We start from the raw sequence: 19,442 nt of genomic DNA on the forward strand, positions 1-19,442 counted from the left end.
CCCAACACCACAAGAGAATCACTCACATCCTTGACTACAGGGTAAAAATAAGAATTTTCAACAGGAGAGGTGCAGTTCTAGAGCACTGTGCCAAGAGAAACGTACAGCCTCTCCTGCCCTGTTTTTGGATGTTCATACTTTTCAATCTGTGGAGTAAATTCAGCTGGGAACAGCTGGTAAGCTACTCCAGAAACCACCACTTTCTGACTTCTTCCAGTTCCAGAATTATAGTCAATAGAGGGACAAGGAGAAGGAAAGTTTTCATCCAAGAGAAGCAGGACAGCATTGCTGGATTTTGTTTGAGCCCTGTGACAAGCTTCTAATATACCTACGATTTTAACCCATTCCCGTACTGCCCAATCTGAGTAGACTCAGGTGTTCGCTTGGCCGACTTCCCAAACTGGATCACACTGGCAGCATCACCTGAAAGGGCAGACACAAGAGAAAGTGAAAAGTTTGCATTTCTTTCCCAGGGTCCTCAAAGTCAAAGGTCTGAGCCTTGTTAAATCCAAGCAGGGGTGTGTATCTGCTGAAAACCTCTCTCCAAGGAAATTCACCACCATGAAGCACATGGAGGCACAGCTTTGCCTGGCCTGTTGGTACCTCTATCACTGTGACCTATGTTCTATTCCCAGAATGTGGTAAGACAGCTAGCAGAGGCATCTGTAGGTCCAGCTCGAGAATGTTGTGCAAGCTGATAAATACAACGCCAAGAGACAGGTAATCTGATTGACTTAAGATTGCCTTTCAGATCCTATCTCCCATGTTAGGACAAGACCTGGCAAATACATTAGTAGAATTAAGCCTGAGATGTTGCAACAGACTTCTTACTCCCCAGGTGGATCTTCTAGACATAACATTGGAGGCAACAGAAAAACAAGTTCACACAATAAGTATTTTGTAAAAATGGTTACATCGCACCCCCCCACCCCCCAAAACAATAATCTCATCACTTACTTGGATCCATTCCTGCTCCATCATCCAAAAAGCAAAGCATAAATCCTCCTCGAAGGTCCTCTCGTCTTTCTGTAAAAGAAGCAGCTGCCATTACTGGGCCGTTACCCACCACAGGGTGGCAACATGCCTATGATCAGAAGGCAGATCAATGTGAAGCTTGGTCCAAAAAGGTCAGGTCAAGCCTAAACTTTCTACGCTGGTGTGAATTAAACTTCAGGGTCCTTGAGGTTGCAAATTCCCATCCAAGGTTCTCCAATGTTTTCTAGATCATGACAAAGCTTGGGAGAACCTTTGAAGGCAGGAATATCTGGTCCAGCATCTAATCATACCCACTACCACTGAATATGCACATACCTCACACATATCTCAATCATCCTATCCTTCTGCTCACTCCACCTGGATTACTATCACTTCTGCCCTATGCCATAGACCCCAAGCACTAAAGTACTCCAACTACCACACACTGTACTTTATCAATACTGCTCAAACTCAACAGGATGCCTCCTTTGTGAATTAAGTCTGGGGTATCCTTCAAAGTGATGAAACCAGACATGGTATGGGCACAGCAGTGGAAGCTGCTATCTAAAAGATGAAGTACTGTGTCTATACATGACCATCCCTAGGCTGACTGGCATTCTGGGCTATCTGCATTTACTGTCATATCCCCTGCTAGCTATGGTCCTTGAAAGGGCTCCCCATCCCAACAGTGAGAAGGCACATGGTACAACGTGGAGGTGCCTTGTTCCTAGCTGGACCTGCCTGATGGGAAGAAGGAATGGTCCTTTGACAATAAGATGCACAGCAGCTGTGGTGGGGTTTCCTGGCCAACAGAAAAGGAACACAACAAACTACGGCTGCCATTCTAGTGAAAAGAACGTCTTCTCTCAGCAGTTGTCTTCTGCAGCAGAAAGTGGTTAACTGAAAGTGGTCTGGGTCCAAGCATGTCATGGTCAATGGAGAAGCGATTCCCAAATATGGAAACAGGCTATACTAGCTTCCAAGGTGCCTTTTGACCCAATGATGAGGACTAGGTGAGCAAAAGAGAAACCAGCCTTGGAATCAAGGAAGTTGGTAGACACAAAGAAGAGAAGGATGTAAGGCAGAGGTATAGGGAGGAGACCCACACAAGCCAAGCAAGCCAACTTCCCATATAGATGCTATTCAGTCTACTGACTGGCACAGGGATAAAGGTAGCATTTCTAAGAGGAAAGAGGTCTGTGTAAGGTATTACAAGGGCAAGCCCAAGGCTGCTCTGCAGCCTGGTCCCTGATGATTTCGGAATCTCCCCCAAGCTTCAGTTAACCAATTTTGTACAACTATCTAAGCTGAGAAATCTGTTTTAAATGCTCTTTGTCCTTTCTTCAGGCTAAAAATTCAAGTGAGTAGGGACTGCCCTCTGTCAAATAGACTTATTAATGTAAATTAAAATGCTATTTTTTTTTTTTTTGAAATGGAGTCTCACTCTGTCGCCCAGGCTGGAGTGCAACGGCGTGATCTCGGCTCACTGCAACCTCTGCCTCCCAGGTTCAAGCGATTCTCCTGCCTCAGCCTCCAGAGTAGCTTCTGTAAGGCTATAAACCACAGAGATTTTCAAGTACCACTCAGTGTTCAGGAAGCTGAACATTAATTACAAGTGCTTCTTGAAAGTACAAGGGTGAGGATCTTCCTGGAAGTACTATTGGTTAGATAAAATCTCTCCTGGTGGCAGTGCCTCTAATCAGAGTCTGGGGAATCCAAATGAGACGTGGCAATCAAGAATAAGTACAATAAAAGTCCAAAAAGGCTTCAAAATTTCCATCTGGAGGAAGCCAAGTGTCATAAGGAGACTCAAACTGGGTCAGGTACAGAGAATGGTAAAAGCAGCATTCTAAACCTAGCCAAGAGCCATTTGCTGTACACTACAGCCGCAAAATGTGCATGAAGACTCTGCTTTGGGATCTAGAAATTGATTCAAGCCAAGCACCTCTGAAAAGTCCCCAAGGACTACTGGCATTCTTTGGACACTGCCTAAGAAGTTACTTTCTAGGCTCTTGTGTTAGGATAGAACTCTTAGGCTGCTTTAGCACACAATCATCACTTAACAGTGGGGCTGGTATCCTTTTCTGGCTCAAGGACTTCATTTCAAAGCTTTTTCGTGTAGTTTAAAGGGTAAGAGATGACACTGGGGGGATCCTCCTGGCTACATAGTAACTGACAGCCTATAAATGGCTAGTAGTGTCTAGGTCCATGGCCACATGCAATACTGCCTCAGGGCCAAGAAAGACTAAGACAGCATTGACTTCTTCAACTTTGTAAACAGACAGTGTGGTCTCTTCACCTTGTTCAAATGCTTATGCCAATCACTTGTTTATTTAATGACTACTTAGTGATCAGCTCTTCTGTGCCTGGTTATGATGAGGACAAGAGCAGTGAACAGTACATATGCGATCACTGTCTTCATGGAGCTTACATCTAATGGATTCTACTGCCTGCAGCAGATAAGCTAGGAAGTAAAGGACAGGAGGGTTTAAGCTGAAGGAAGCTTAGAAAAGTATTGGCTAGAGCAAAATGTAGTATGGGTAAGAATTATCCAAAGAGCTTGTGAAAATAGATTCTGGGCTCCCCCTGGATAGTCTGGGTACGTCTGAGGTGGGGCATTCGCATTTCTAACAAGTTCCAAGATGATATTGACAACATCTGTGGATGGACCACCTTTTGAGAAGCACTAAACTAGAGCAAGCAAGAACTCGAAGGCGTCCCTGCTCAAAACTATCTCCTCATATATTCCACCATAGAGATAGATTCCTATCACCTGATATTTAATCAGTCAACTGAGTGATATCTGAAGCCTCCAAAGATAAAGGAAGGGGAATTCTGGATAAAGAAGAGTCTAAGCAGCTGGGGGTTGTATGTTCCCCGCCTCCCATCACACATCTTGAAAGTAAGAGAAGGCAAAGCCGAACTGCCTGCTTTGCAGCTGTGCTTCATATCCTGGGAACAGCTCTGTAAGACTGTCAAAGCCAATCTGAAAGTCTGCACATCTCCCAGAATGGCCAAGTCTGGCTTCTGCAAGCCAGACATTCTTCATCTAACTCCCACTGGGAAGAATAAAGAAAGAAAGCAGGAAAAGACAAGAGATGTCAAATGGAGCTATACATCCAAAAGTCAAAGGTGATAAAATAATGGTGTCCCCAGGAGAGGCTGCAATAAAATGACATCCAAGTTCTTCATCATACTCTGCAATCTGTTTGAGCAGTATTAATTGCAGTTTCATTTGCTCCAATTTTCCATGTGTTAATCATTGCCCTGGCATCACGAAAAGGATCTTTCTTCCAAGGAGGTGGCACTACCTACCCCAGAAGGTCAAGAAAGTCAACAAAAACAGTCTGCTTATGACAGGCATATTATGGTCTATAATAATAATCCAACTAATAATAATATGCTTTGGGTAAATGAACACCTCTACACTTTGAGAGGCTGGCTCCTTTTTTGCCCTTTTTAGGTTTAAAAATGGTCTTTAAATGTGACTTTGTGGTGACTTCAAACTACATCTGATGTTTGGAAAGATTTCCAAGTCCAGTTATCAATCAGTTTCAGAAGTGGAGATAAGAAAATACTTTCCCCCATGAACTAACAACAAGAACTTTATAGTATTAAGATTATTACTGGCCAAGCGCATCGGCTCAGCCTGTAAGCCCAGCACTTTGGGGGGCCAAGGCAGTCAGATTACTTGAGCTCAGGAGTTTGAGACCAGCCTGGGCAACATGGTGAAAAAATATATATACAAAAATTAACCAGGTATGGTGGTGTGTGCCTGTAGTCTCAGCTGCTCGGGAGGCTGAGGTAGGAGGATCACTTGAGCCCGAGAGGTGGAGGTTGCAGTGAGCCTAGATAGCACACTGCATTCCAGCCTGGGTGAAAAAAAAAGATTCCACGGACTGATTTCTCCTGTTGAATGTGTTAACAAGGCCCTGTGGTAGAAAAGTGTAGGGTTAAAGATCCCTTAGCCAAGAATCCCAATCTCCTGGTACTTGAAGTAAATCAAGTCTTTTTCCAAAATGCTATGGTGCTTAGTGCTTCTATCACACCATTTAATCCTTAACTGTCTTGACTGTTCCCTCAAGATCTAGTTATTGTTCTCTAATTATCCATAGTGCATTAATTGTCTCTCCAATTAAAGACTAAGTTCTTAAAGCAAAGACCCCCATCTCCTCCTCTCTGGACATTTCCCAAAGCATAACAGGAGTTGTACTGAGCACAGAATAAAGACACACTGGGTCCTTTTTCATTTAAATTGAAATCCAACTTCATTCTGAGTGTCAGGAACTAAACTTCCTTGCTGAAATTTACCCACCAAATGTAGTAGGAGACAGCAGAGATGATCTTTTTTAAAAAACGTCTTCCAAGTAGACTTGACCATTACGATTTGTACCTTCAACATCACTTGGAGAAGAGGCCCATTCTCTGCTTTAGCATCTGTGCATTGATTAAATAAGCCCTATTTTTCCAGCGGTAGCTGTTACCATTCCTGAGAAAGCACACTCAGATGTAAGATACATGCTTTGGCTTGGAAAGGCACCTCCATCTGGCCTGAGCATTTTTTTTTTTTTTTTTTTTTTTGAGACGGAGCTTCGCTCTTGTTGCCCAGGCTGGAGTGCAATGGTGCGATCTTGGCTCATGGCAACTTCCACCTCCTGGGTTTAAGCGATTCTCCTGCTTCAGCCTCCCGAGTAGCTGGGATTAGAGGCATGCACCACCACACCCGGCTAATTTTGTATTTTTAGTAGAGACAGGGTTTCTCCATGTTGGTCAGGCTGGTCTCAAACACCCGACCTAAGGTGGTCCGCCTGCCTCGGCTTCCCAAAGTGTTGGGATTACAGGTGTGAGCCACCACGCCCAGCCTTGGCCTGAGCATTTAGTAATCATCTTCTAACATTCTTTTCCTGTGTGCCCCTATTTCCTGTTACTTTCTTCTAGAGAGAAAAGAAGCCTTATTTTTACCACTTTGGCAGAGCCTTTTGAACAAAAGGCTTTCAGAATTGAAGCAGTACAGCTGACTTTTAGCTGCTCTGAGGATTTTCTTTGCTCCAAAGTATAGCAGACATGAGAAATTCATCAAATCTGGGGCAGATTCTTCATAATTATATGACATTAGTGGTTCTGAGAATTACTACTTAGTTGTGTGCTTGTTCCCATTCATCAAAAGGGTCCATGAAGAGGGGTTATTTCATTCCCATGTAAACATACAGACTTCTCAGAACCTAGTTCATGCTACTCAAAATATCACCTCACACATTTCAGAGGATTTCAGAAAAGTCTGTCAGAAAAAAACACATCACACTAGTCGAATTGTATTTAAAAGCTGTCTTCCGGCCAGGTGTGGTGGCTCACGCCTGTAATCCCAGCACTTTGGGAGGCCGAGGCAGGCAGATCACCTGAGGTCATGAGTTTGAGACCAGCCTGGCCGACGTGGTGAAACCCCGTCGCTACTAAAAATACAAAAAATTAGCCGGGTGTGGTGGTGGGCGCCTGTAATCCCAGCTACTTGGGAGTCTGAGGCAGAATTGCTTGAACCTGGGAGATGGAGGTTGCAGTGAGGCAAGATCGTGCCACTGCACTCCAGCCTGGGTGACAAGGTAAGACTCCATCTCAAAAAAAAAAAAAAAAAAAAGCTGTCTTCCTCCATTCTGCTTTCAAATTTTTAGTATTCAAATGACTAAAAAAGGTGCTAGTACAAATACCAGGCAGAAAGCAAACTATTAAAATTAATGAGTTAATTAATTAAAAGGCCAATGACTGTTGCACTCACTCTAGGAAAAGGAGAAGATCTTACTACAAAACAGCAGAGCCAAATAAGCAAAACGAAATAGGATGTTGACAGGTGTAAATTCCAAGCCAAGCAGCCTTCCTTCCTGACACCTCTGAGAACAACTCAGCAAACCTCAGAGCCAATCCAGTTACTGCTATTTTCCGCAACCGATACCAGCAATTCTCCAAGTTGAGACTAGTGCTCACCAAGAGTTCAAAACAAAGTGGCCTCCAACAAGATCTCTCCTTGGCTGCAGGTACCACAAACCTCGTTCACCTATTAACGCCTACCAGTAAAATAACTTGGTCATTTCACTCTCTACTGTTCCACTCCATCACTTCCATAACTCTACTAGTAGCTATTTACATAGATTTGGATACCTTGTGTTAGTTTCTTGAAACCAATATTCTTGGTTTCTATGCCTGACCAGAGCTGACCATACCTGACTACGGCTGCCCCTTTTCTACCTATGACCTGGAATAATCATGCCATCTTCCCAGGCTCCCGAATCCAGTTATTTCCCACTCAATTCTTCTTAGGCACAGTAATAAATGCATTAAGATGAACTAGACATTAGAAGGACTAAAGCCTGACTTACCTGCATAAATATCTATTCTGGTGGCATCAGCATCTCTGCAAAGTGAAAAGAAAAGAATCATGTGAATTAATATGAAATATCAACCATCAAAATGCATAGTGATTTGAGTAGAATGCAGAGTATTTTGAGTCTGTTTTCAGGAAGCCATACAGAAATTCTATAGACATTTAGAATTTTTTTTACTTTTATACTTGACAACACAATTTTCTTTATATATCTGTAAAACATTTCTGAAGCCCCAAATTATTGAAGATGATCACATGACATGGGGCCTGGATATTTTTTTTAAATCCTGATTTTGTGGTAAAAACATCTATAGGATAAGCAAGAATATTTCCCTTTATACCCTAAGAAATGATTCAAATATGTTTTTCTCACTCATTTGATTGCAATCATAAAAAGATGTTCCAATAACTTGTCCACTTTTTCTTCTCGTCAATATTTTAAGAAAAAAGGAAGACAATAATCTCCCACAAAACCTGTGAAAAATCACTTCTCGTGGTATACACACTGCAGTCAGCAGACTGATTCCTGAGCCCATAATCTTAACCTCCCTAAACCTGAAAGGAAGTTGGGATACCCCTGCCCCATTAGACTCCAACCATTGGCTGAAATCATACAGATTCAGTTATCAATGAAGACTTCCATAAAGGCTCAGAAGTAATTTAGTCCAATTCTGCCAACTGCAAAGAAAATGAAACCGTTTCACTGGTTTTACATGCAAAAAATCCACACAGCTCTACATATACCTATTCTCAAATATCTAAAACATTTTCAAATATGAGAGATACTGGCAAAATGTATACACAAGTAGGAATACATACTCCTAAGAATCTCTATTTTACCATATGATACACAAAAAAAGCAGCCTGCCACCGCACATCATGGTCTCACTAAATTAACAAGTGGCAAATTCAAACACAGTTCCATTAACCTACAACACTTTTTAATTGAATGGAAAAATGATGAGTCAACCAGGATTGAAACAAAACAGGAGTTTTCTGGTTAAACAACTAGCACACTTCCATGAGCAGTCCAGCTAATAACAACAACAAAAGTAATTAGAATAAGTTTATTGTATACACAGAGGTAAAGAGGAAATTATCAGCGAGCACATTAACTGGAGATCTGTTTGAAAGTACTTCCGCTGTCAATTTTCATCCTCCTCTTCCTTCCTTAGTCATCAAAACCTAGTCAGTAAATGTGTCTGAATTTTATGTTTGCATTCAGGAATAAGACTAAGACACTATTTTCCTAATTATAAACAGAATCTTGATATGGACTTGGATTTACATCAGAACTAACCCAAACTTCTATTCAGTCTTACACAGTAACATTTACATGTTTCTATCACTAAGAACTCAGTATAAGACAGTGCTGACCAATGATTCCTTCCAAGCACAGCTGCTAACAATGAAAGACACTGTGATCATTTAGTTATCTGACAAATATACAATTTGAGAAGACACAGAACTTTGGCATAGTTTTAAAGACATTAGATGGTGTACTATCCTGCTAGCACAAATTAAATCAGAGCCTGCCTGTCTCATTAATATGATTCCTAAGTGTCTATCTTAATTCCTTGCATTTTACTACAATTATCTTGCTCTAATACACAAGGGAAGTGGTTTTGGAGGTGATAACTCACTATTTTTAGGCTAGAACACAAAGAACAATTAGTGAATTTAAGTAAGAAAGTGGAAGTTATCAACTAATGTGCTATTAAAAATATTATTTTTAGTAAGAGGCATCCTAGGAGTTACAGAATGTCTACATTCTACAGAAATGTCTTCCTCTCAAGTCTTCAGAGAGCAAAGGTCACAGCTACCTAAAGTGTTTCCACTTCAAGCACAGATTGTATGCCTGAAGACTACATACCTTGCATTATCAACCAGTTCAGCAAGGGCACCAAACAAGAATTCGTGAGTGGTTCTGAAATGATAAATACTAAAAGTCAGCAAAAGAATTATTGAAGTTATAATTCCTAATAAAAAGCCATGGTTATAAAATATTTAAGTTTTTTGAAAAAAATCTTAAAACCACCATTTGCATTGTTTTTATACTACTCAAGGCTTTCCAGAGCTCCCCAACTCCCCTCAATTGTTAATCTTTAACAAGTCCTGCCATCTATTCAGAAATGATTATTCTTCCTATTTTGAGTTGGGAAACCCACCCTGAAGCATTGAAAGAGTCCTATGTGTAGTAACTGCTAAAAGTGTTTTTCACTATTCATATCCTGCCTAGAAAAATGCCTGTATATTTTATTTTTCATTGCCTTAACCAGTGGTCAGTTTCTGCATATCTCAGAGCAAGAATTTTAAGGATATATCTTATGCATAAATATTGAACTTTGTTTTTTGTTTTTTCTTTGAGACAGGTTCTCATTCTTGTCACTCGGACTGGAGTATAGTAAGTTTTGAATAACATGATAACTGTGTATTTACTCAATCCAAACTTTGAGCAGCCTCCCAGAGGAGATGACCACTGGTTCCCCTCCTTGAAGGGGTTAATGTTAACAGGGGCCCTAGGCAACCACACCAAGCAAGCTCTTGTCATCCTAGAAGGAATTGTTGGAAAAGGTCTTCGATTACTTTCTTTAATGGAGGGAAAGTTCTGGTTTTAGCCAAAATCTGAGAAAGTCATAAAATGAGTTATTCTCTTTACCTTCTCTTTCAAATGGGATATTTTTGCTTATAAATTACACAAAAGTGTATGAGTTTCCTTTCTTCACTGGTAGATGACGCACAAGTATTGGTAAAACAAAATGCTAACAAGTTATACATTGAGCATGTGCAATTTACACTGTTTAATTTGTGCTCTTTTCCACAATAGTCCTCATGAGATATCAAATTAGGATGTGTCCACATAGAACCACCTAAAAAAAAAACACTTGACTTCTGATTAAATACAATATTAACCCACATAATACATGACCATCAATTTTTCAAAAATATCCATGTTACTCTGACTTTTTTGCATAGAGTTTCAGCCAAAGTAAAAAGTTTCAGCCAATTTTCAGTTAAAGTAAGAATTTTTAAATGAAATATATCAATAGTAAATAACCAGCATCTAGGATCTCTGATCGCTTACCATATTGCAAACAAAATGTAAAACATTTATTAAATAAATATCCATAACTAAACTCTCCAGGAATATTGTTTTTTCTTCCTCAAGTAACTCCAAATTTTTACAAATGCAATTTTTTTGTTTTGTTTTGTTTTTGAGACAGAGTTTCGCTCTTGTCGCCCAGGCTGGAGTGCGATGGCACAATCTTGGCTCACTGCAACCTCCACCTCCTGGGTTCAAGTGATTCTCCTGCCTTGGCCTCCAGAATAGCTGGGATTACAGGCATGCGCCACCACACCCGGCTAATTTTGTATTTTTAGTAGAGAGGAGGTTTCACCATGTTGGCCAGGCTGGTCTCAAACTCCTGACCTCAGGTGATCTGCCTGCCTTGGACTCCCAAAGTGCTGAGATTACAGACCTGAGCCACCACACACGGCCTACAAATGCAAATTTTGAATTAAACTATCACTTGGTGGAATTATAGGAAGACCTTTCCCCCAACAAGATCAGTGAATATATGTGCTGCTAATCCAAAGGCAGCACGACAAATATGTTATAACCAAAAGAAATTTTATCATCAATTTACCTAGGAAATAGAGTTCAAATTCTTCTGGGTAAAATCTAATTAATTATACTACAGGGAAAAGACAGATTTATTTATTTATTTATTTATTTTGAGACGGAGTTTTTCCTCTTGTTGCCCAGGCTGGAGTGCAATGGCGCAATCTCCGCTCACTGCAACCTCCGCCTCCCGGGTTCAAGCAATTCTCCTGCTTCAGCCTCCTGAGTAGCTGGTATTACAAGCATAGGCCACCATGCCCGGCTAATTTTTTTGTATTTTTAGTAGAGACGGGGTTTCTCCATGTTGGTCAGGCTGGTCTTGAACTCCCAACCTCAGGTGATCCGCCCGCCTCGGCCTCCCAAAGTGCTGGGATTACAGCCATAAGCCGCCACACCCGGCTGGAAAAGACAGATTTCTCAAAAAAAAAAAAAAAAAAAGTCCATAAAACAGCCATATTTTGTTGTTGTTGTTGTTATTTTGTTTTTTTGTTTTGAGACAGAGTCTCACTGCGTCGCCCAGGCTGGAGTGCAAGCGGCGCAATCTCGGCTCACTGCAACCTCTGCCTCCAGGGTTCAAGCAATTCTTCTGCCTCAGCCTCCCGAGTAGCTGGGATTACAGGCGCCTGCCACTATGCCCAGCTAATTTTTTAAAATATTTTTAGTAGAGACAGGGTTTCACCAAGTTGGTCAGGCTGCTCTTGAACTCCTGACCTCAGGTGATCCAGCCGCCTCAGCCTCCCAAAGTGCTGGAATTACAGGCGTGAGCCACCATGCCCGGCCCATATGTTTAATTATTAAAAATATCTGTCTTGTGCCCCCTCAGTAAAAATTTAAAAAAAAAATTTAAAGAACAAAAAATATTTGTCTCTAGAATTATCACTTTAAATTCTTTAAATTACCAACTAAATAAACAAAAAGTATTCTGTAAACTACCCCACTAACTAGGGAGAAATAAGCTTAAAAATTAAGGTGACTTGCCAAAGGTAATGTTGGTTAAAAGTGAATCTAACATTTGGTTTCAAACTTTCAACCAGTCATTTTCCTATCAAACATATAAGTGACTTAGAAACTTACAAAGTGAATTCATTTTATATACCCTAAATATTTTTGAGGATTGTTATATAGAAATATAAAATGACCAATTTTATCCCAATTCTTCTCATTTCAACATGAGTTTGTACTTTTAACGTAAATCAAGGAATCTCAAAAATAGAGCTACCAGAAAAAAACAAGAGCACAACCATAGTAAGTATGAGACCACATCTTGCATCAGAATGTACTAACTTCAGAATAAATAATGAAGTTTCCAGTCTTTGGTAGTGAGAATGGTCAATCTGAATATTCTGGAAAACTAATTTTGACACCCTCTGCCATTAGGACAAGAAAACCAAAACAGAAATTTCAACTGCTTCTTAGCAATACATATTTTCCGATAGCATCCCACAAGAATGAGAAATTTAGAATGCAATAAGCAGATCTCCAAAGGGCAAGCACAAAGCACCTGCCACACAGTGCTTAGAAATGTGCCTTGTGTGGTGCCTCACGCCTATAAACCCAGCACTTTGGGAGGCCGAGGTGGGTGGATCGCTTGAACTCAGGAGTTTGAGACCAGCCTGGCCAACATGTTGAAACCCTGACTCTACTAAAAATACAAAAAAATTAGTCAGGCATGGTGGCGGACACCTGTAATCCTAACTACTTGAGAGGCTGAGGCAGGAGAATCGCTTGAACCCGGGAGGTAGAGGTTGCATGCAGTGAGCCGACATTGTGAGATCGCGCCACTGTACTCCAGCCTGGACAAGAGCAAAACTCCACCTCAAAAAAAAAAAAAGAAAGAAAGAAAGAAAGAAATGTGCCTTGCATATTTAGAACTTTCAAAAAATTCTAAATGGGCAGGGTGCAGTGGCTCACACCTGTAATCCTGGCACTTTGGGAAGCCCAGGCCAGCAGATGCCTTTAGCCCAGGAATTTGAAATCAGCCTGGGCAACACGGCAAAACCCCCATCTCTACAAAAAGTAGAGAAATAAAAATAAATTATTATTTATAATAAATAAATAAGCCAGGTGTGGTGGTGTACACCTGTAGTTCCAGCTACTTGAAAGGCTGAGGTGGGAGGATGGCCTGAGCCTAAGAAGCGAGGGTTGCAGTGAGCCAAGACTGCGCCACGGCACACCAACCTGGCTGAAAGAGCCAGACCCTGTCTCAAAAAAAAAAAAAAAAACTAATGGTCTTTGTTGTTCCACACAGTCTCAATGCTGTTCCATGCATACATACATATTTCAGATAAGCTAACAGTAGCCTTTACAATGTAGCCAAAGGGTACTTTTGTGATGGCAGTACATATCATAAAAGAAGCCTTTTGTGACCACTGTTGGTAAAGTCAGAGATAATACTCAGAATCTCTTCCAGACCTCCAACTGATTAAAGATAGATCTTCCAGATGCTAAAATCAAGAGTTCTAAATATTTCTTAAAATCATAAGAATCAAAATTATACCAACTGCACAAATTCTTTTTTACCAAATAATATTCCAAGAGTACACTCATTGCTAGCTAGCATTTGGGATAGAGTAAACATCAAAAGAAATTCTTTTTTTTTTTTGAGACAGAGTCTCGCTCTGTCACCCAGGCTGGAGTGCAGTGGTGCGATCGGCTCACTGCAAGCTCCGCCTCCCGGGTTCAGGCCATTCTCCTGTCTCAGCCTCCCGAGTAGCTAGCTGGGACTACAGGAGCCCGCAGCCACGCCCAGATAATTTTTTTGTATTTTTAGTACAGACGGGGTTTCACCATGTTAACCAGGATGGTCTCAATCTCCTGACCTCGTGATCCACCCACCTCGGCCTCCCAAAGTGCTGGGATTACAGGCGTGAGCCACAGCACCCGGCCTAGAAATTCTTTTCTTCACAGACCTAAACATCCTTTGCATGTGATCCAAGAAAGGTGAACTGGAAAAAGACAAAGATTTTTTGAAAATTCGTTCACTTTCAACTGATTATGGCTTTTTTTTTTTTTGAGAGATGGAGTCTTGCTCTGTTGCCCCGGCTGGAGTGCAGCGGCATGATCTCAACTCATCGCAACCTCTGCCTCCCAGTTCAAGAGATTCTCCTGCCTCAGACTCCCGAGTAGCTGGGATTACAGGCACAAGCTACCATGCCCGGCTAATTTTTTGTATTTTTAATAGCGATGGGGTTTCACCGTGTTGGCCAGGCTGGTCTGGAACTCCTGGCCTCAAGTGATCTGCCCACCTTGGCCTTCCAAAGTGCTGGGATTACAGGCATGAGCCAACCGCGCCTGGCTGATCACGGCTTTTATATCATTTGTGTCACAGTATAAACAGTTTGCAGCTTAGCATTTCCAGGGACAAATTCACCTGTAAATTAGCTTGTTATGTAAGGAAAATGGTCTCCCTATTTACATTCATCCTGAATGTAAACCAATAGATCATCCATAGGCCCATCACACAGTATACCTTTGCTGAGTTCCTAGACGTGCTGACAATAGGTAATTGCCTTAATTGCTAGAAAATAAAGCTGAGAAATTCTAGAGCAACTATTTTACATTGAAATGGCTTTAATATATTTAAGATATGAGCCTGCTCAACAGCCTTAAAGTAATAAGTAATCTAAGTCTCTGAGTTGACAGGCTCCTCTACATTCACTTCACATACCCATAAAACTCAGAAATAGGGCTGGGTGCAGTGGCTCAGATCTGTAATCCCAGCACTTTGGGAGGCCGAGGCAGGCGGATGATGAGGTCAAGAGATCAAGTCTATCCTGGCTAACACGGTGAAACCCCATCTCTACTAAAAATACAAAAAATTACCCAGGCATGGTGGCATGCGCCTGTAGTCCCAGCTACTTGGAAGGCTGAGGGAGGACAATCACTTGAACCTGGGAGGTGGAGGTTGCAGTGAGGCGAGATGGTGCCACTGCACTCCAGCCTGGGTGACAGAGCAAGACTCCATCCAAAAAAAAACCAAAAACAAAACAAAACAAAAAACCCAGAAATATATGCCCAAGATGTTAAGTGACTAAATGTGCCAACAAAAATAAATAGCAGACATCTTATATCTAAGCATCCTGCTCTATCAGACCACTTAGCAGTACTGCAAACAAAGTGACTTAATATACACATTTTATGCCAAAGGAACATCACTACCACCACTACATCTGAAGTAGAAGTCACAAAACCCACTACCAAAGAGAAGTAACAGCATGAAACTCCTTTTACTTAAAAACCCTAACATTTATCATCTCATACTAGCAACATCTGATGTTAAATTAACTGAAGACTTTCAGGTTATCACGAGAATTTATTTCCCAGGCCTGCTGTAAACCTTAAAAAGCTGAAGTAACCAACAGAATAACCATCAAAAGTTATCAAAGACCTGATACAAAAAAAGACAGATGTTCACTGTCTCCAAAAGATGCTCCAGAATTTCCTAAGAACTGATGTGCCTAATGACTAGCACCAAACAAGTTGCCACCACAGTGACCAACTTCTGGTTTATATAAACTATTATAGAGTAACACTCACCATTCACACAATGTTTACTGTGTACCACCGTATGAGCTAAGAACTTTACAAACATCATTTCATATAATCCTCGTAAAAACTGTCAGATTAGCCCCATTTTATAGTTGAAGAAACTGAGATTCAAGAACTTGACCTGTCCAAGGACACAGCCAGGAAACACTCAAGTCCAGGTTTGGCTGGTTTGCAAGCACACGGTCTTTTCACTGCACCACACTGATTTCCACACTTCTCATCTGGTCACTGCTTCTAAGTCTACATTTAATGAGAAGTAAGCAAAGGACCATTTATTTCCTAATTCGCAATACTGTAGATGTCAGACACCATGAAATGGTCTCGTGTTCCTAAGATTTTAACAGAACAAAGGAGAAGAGAGACAAATCTTCCCTTCTCTGAAGATGACTTACTGAACCACTTTACACACAGGTGGTTCATCTTCCATCTTTATGAGCTACAAGTCACATCATGTGAGAATTTTAAAATTTATTTTCTCTATAAATGAACTTCCAATCAGGTCACCACAATGTTTTAAAAATCTTCTGAAATTAGAAATAAAAAACTTATCTTGTTGGTTTAGGGTTTATACTGTCTTCTGGTAGGACTAATACATCAAAAAGGAGAACAACTTCTAAGGTCGAATTTGTGATCCAGGTAAGAAATTCCAGAGCTTCCAAAATGATACTCCAACCCTCAAATGTTCATGCAAGCAGGTGGTTCCAGTTCAACATGGGTAAGTCAAAGTCCCAGAAAATTCCCCAACAAATGACTTAACTGGTTTCTTTCCTTTCCTTGGCAGTGCCAAGTATCTATCAATAAGCTATAAAATAGCAAAGGGGGAAAAAGAAGGGAGAAATATCCCAGAGTCCTTAGAGATTCATTGAGATAAACTAAAATTGAAGACTTTTAAACTGTGAAGTATACCCTTTGCTTTATAGACAAGCAAATAGGCTCTTGAAGGTAAAACTGACTACAGTAGGCACTGCCTAATGGTTAAAAGCACCAACTACTGTGGCCAGATAAATCCCACTGTCTTAAATCTTGGCACCGTTTAAGTCTGCCACTTGGCAGCTATATAGCCATTACCATGTAATTTAATCTCTTTGAACCTCAGTTTCCTCAAATGCAAAATAGGAATAATCCTTATCCCAAAGGCTTCCTGTAAAGATTGCTTTGGACAATGTTTAAAATAGTGACTGATATGAAGCAATTAACTGTTGTTACTATTATTATCCCATAAAGTCTTTGGTGAAGCTGGAACAAGAACTGAAATTCTGAAGTCCAGTTCATGGTCTTCCAAGATTATCATAAAATCTGTAATTCCAGACTTACCATCATTCCAAAATTCAGAGCTGAGATAACCATTTATCAAACACAGTCATCCATGAACATTTAAGTGGCCTTCAACTGCTTGTTCTTAATATGGCAGTTCAAACATTAAAAAGGACACTAAAGTTTTTTCCCAAGGCTATGCTATCAACTAGCTGAATAATCACTAATCAGCAACCTCACCCAAGTGTGTTTCAGGGTCATCATACTTAAGTGTTAGAATTCAACCTAGGTGACTGCTACAGGCCGGCCATGGTGGCTCATGCCTGTAATCCCAGCACTTTGGGAGGCCAAGGTGGGTGGATCACCTGAAGTCAGGAGTTCGGGACCAGCCTGGCCAACATATAGTGAAACCCCGTCTCTCTAAAAAAATACAAAAATTAGCTGGGCGTGGTGGTGCATGCCTGTAGTCCCAGCTACTTGGGAAGCTGAGGCAGGAGAATCGTTTGAACCTGGGAGGTGAAGGTTGCAGTGAGCCAAGATTGCGCCACCCCACTCTAGCCTGAGCAACAGAGCAAGACTCCGTCTCTCAAAAAAATAACAAACTTCCTAAAAAAAATAAAAACAGGCTTTCACCATTTGACAGTTTGCTTCACTACTTGGCAAAATTTTATTCCCTTTAAAGGAAAAATAGAAATATTACAGACATTATGATATCACAAACATGTTGTCTTCTCCATCAAAAGCTAAAAACCATTGTACTATTACTACATAATGGAAGTCTATACTCTCGACTCTGAAGTGGGTTCTTCAGAGACTGGACCATTCATGTAGCTGCTCATCTCCTCTCCAGGTACTAGAATGTTAGAACACTTACCTTCATCTCAAAAGTAACAGGTGAATGTATTAAAACACTAAAGTTTTGACGCTACTGGACAGCCTCCAAGAGAGTGGGCATATGGATTAAACCTGAAACATTCCAGACCATGTTGGAGTGATTAGATTACTCCTTCATGAACTCAAGAACCATGAACACTGTATGTTTCTGTGGAAATTTTGGGGAAAGACTATCTAAATAGAGATATAAACAAGTTGCCGTTTCCTGTTTAGCATATACAAATAATATTGGATGTGAGCAATCTGCCAGGAAGATAATGCCAACTTCTGAAAAAATAAAAATTTTCTTCTTGAAAGTTGTCATTTAAATGTCTTCTGTTTTCTTGTTAGAAAGTAAACACTTGTTATAAACCTAACTGTTTAGGACGTTGTCACTACAGAGGGGAAACGGTTGATACTAAAATAGTCCAACATTTGGCGATCCAATAGAGCAGTATTTGTTGGATTCCTATAAACACTTGAATGAAACAACTCAACATATTGACTTCAAATAACTAAAGTTTGCATTTAGAAAATTTTGATCCAATAAACAAAAATCAGATTCTTCTGGATTAGCAACAAGTATTTCACTGATCTCAGTTCTTCAATACAGAGCTCAAGATATCCAGTGACACATTTCACTCCAGTGGGATACATCTCAAAAAGTGAAAAAGCAAAATTTTCTGGGGAAACGATTTCCATATAATATCAAGGAACGAGTTACTGGTTACCTCAGTGGCACCTAGAGGATACTTACGAATTTGTGTGCAGATATTCAAAGGTTAGCTGAGCTCGATTCAGACTGCTGTAATTTGTGAAAGCCATGACTGCAATAAGGTCTCCAGCCCTTCACCCGCTAACTGGGAAATATAACCTTATAATGATATCGATTTCCCAGGATTCTGTCCAGTAAAGCTTCAGTAAGTCTGTGCTCCTTAATGACAGTTAAAGTAACCTAGTAGCTATCCAAAATATATGCAGAGATGTTTAAAACTACAATTTCTTCAAGTGTTTTTTTTTAATCTTCTCAATGATTTATGATGTAATATTTTGGAAGGAACTATGTCATAAATCTGTAGCTTTAAGGAGCTTTTAGCATTAAGTTGCGATAGCTCAATTCAGACAATCTGAGTCTCGTGTGGATGGTCCTGAAGGAGATGGTCCTTGAGTGGGTGGTTTATGACTGCTCCATCTTCATGTTCTTCCAGCCTTTTTTGGTTCCCCGAAATTTCCTGTCAGGAAATTTACCAACGCGGAAATTTACCCACTTCTGTCAGAAAACTGATCAGCCATGTCTTCGCCACACGTGATGCCAGGATTCTTAAACAGGCCCAAGACCGGAGACCAAGATGTCGACGGAGTGTTATATGGCGCAAGTTGCAGCTTCACCACCTCCCAAGTGAAAAAGCTCCTAGGCACTCACGATTTCTTTTTTCAAAGCCGGACCAAACCCAGTTCAGGGTGGTGGTCAGATTACCTCACACTTGGCCCACATAAACACCTCACAAATGACCCGCCCACAGCACCTCGGGCAGGCCGCGCCCCGCCCCCACGTCCCTCAGACAACAGCCTCAGCCTCCCAGGCCCTTCCCGGGCCTCGGTCCCGTGGCCGCCTCCCCACGAAGAGGAGCTACTCCCGGCTTCCAAGGACCGGATCGAGGGCAGTGGCGAGCGCACCACCTGACCGGGCACTACCCGGATCTCACAACTGCCTTTGTCCCTCCCCGCGGAATTGGAACCCAACAGCCGCAGAGCGCTCTTGGAACCATGTGCTGCTGCCGCCTCCGCCGCCGCCGC

The 19,442-nt window shown here is 41.2% G+C and overlaps 1 protein-coding gene across 7 annotated transcripts in view; it reads right to left on the bottom strand.

Moving 5' to 3' along the window:
• MORC2 (MORC family CW-type zinc finger 2) overlaps positions 1-19,355 on the bottom strand; it is a 43,645-nt gene extending 24,290 nt beyond the window's left edge. For 2 of the 7 annotated variants that reach the window (XM_017028667.3, XM_011530004.3), the window contains exons 1-5: positions 18,403-19,355; positions 9,222-9,275; positions 7,344-7,378; positions 958-1,041; positions 333-423 (exon numbers count right to left, since the gene is read on the bottom strand). In XM_017028667.3, coding sequence (XP_016884156.1) covers positions 333-423; positions 958-1,041; positions 7,344-7,378; positions 9,222-9,275; positions 18,403-18,470 — 332 coding nt within the window. In that variant the 5' untranslated portion in view covers positions 18,471-19,355. Of the gene's footprint in view, positions 1-332; positions 424-957; positions 1,042-7,343; positions 7,379-9,221; positions 9,276-13,805; positions 13,916-17,646 lie in introns of all 7 variants that reach the window. The other 5 variants (XM_047441203.1, NM_014941.3, NM_001303256.3 and 2 more) reach the window with 5 other exon arrangements.

Source organism: Homo sapiens, chromosome 22 (assembly GCF_000001405.40).
Source record: "Homo sapiens chromosome 22, GRCh38.p14 Primary Assembly".
NCBI classification, from domain to species: Eukaryota; Metazoa; Chordata; class Mammalia; order Primates; family Hominidae; genus Homo; species Homo sapiens.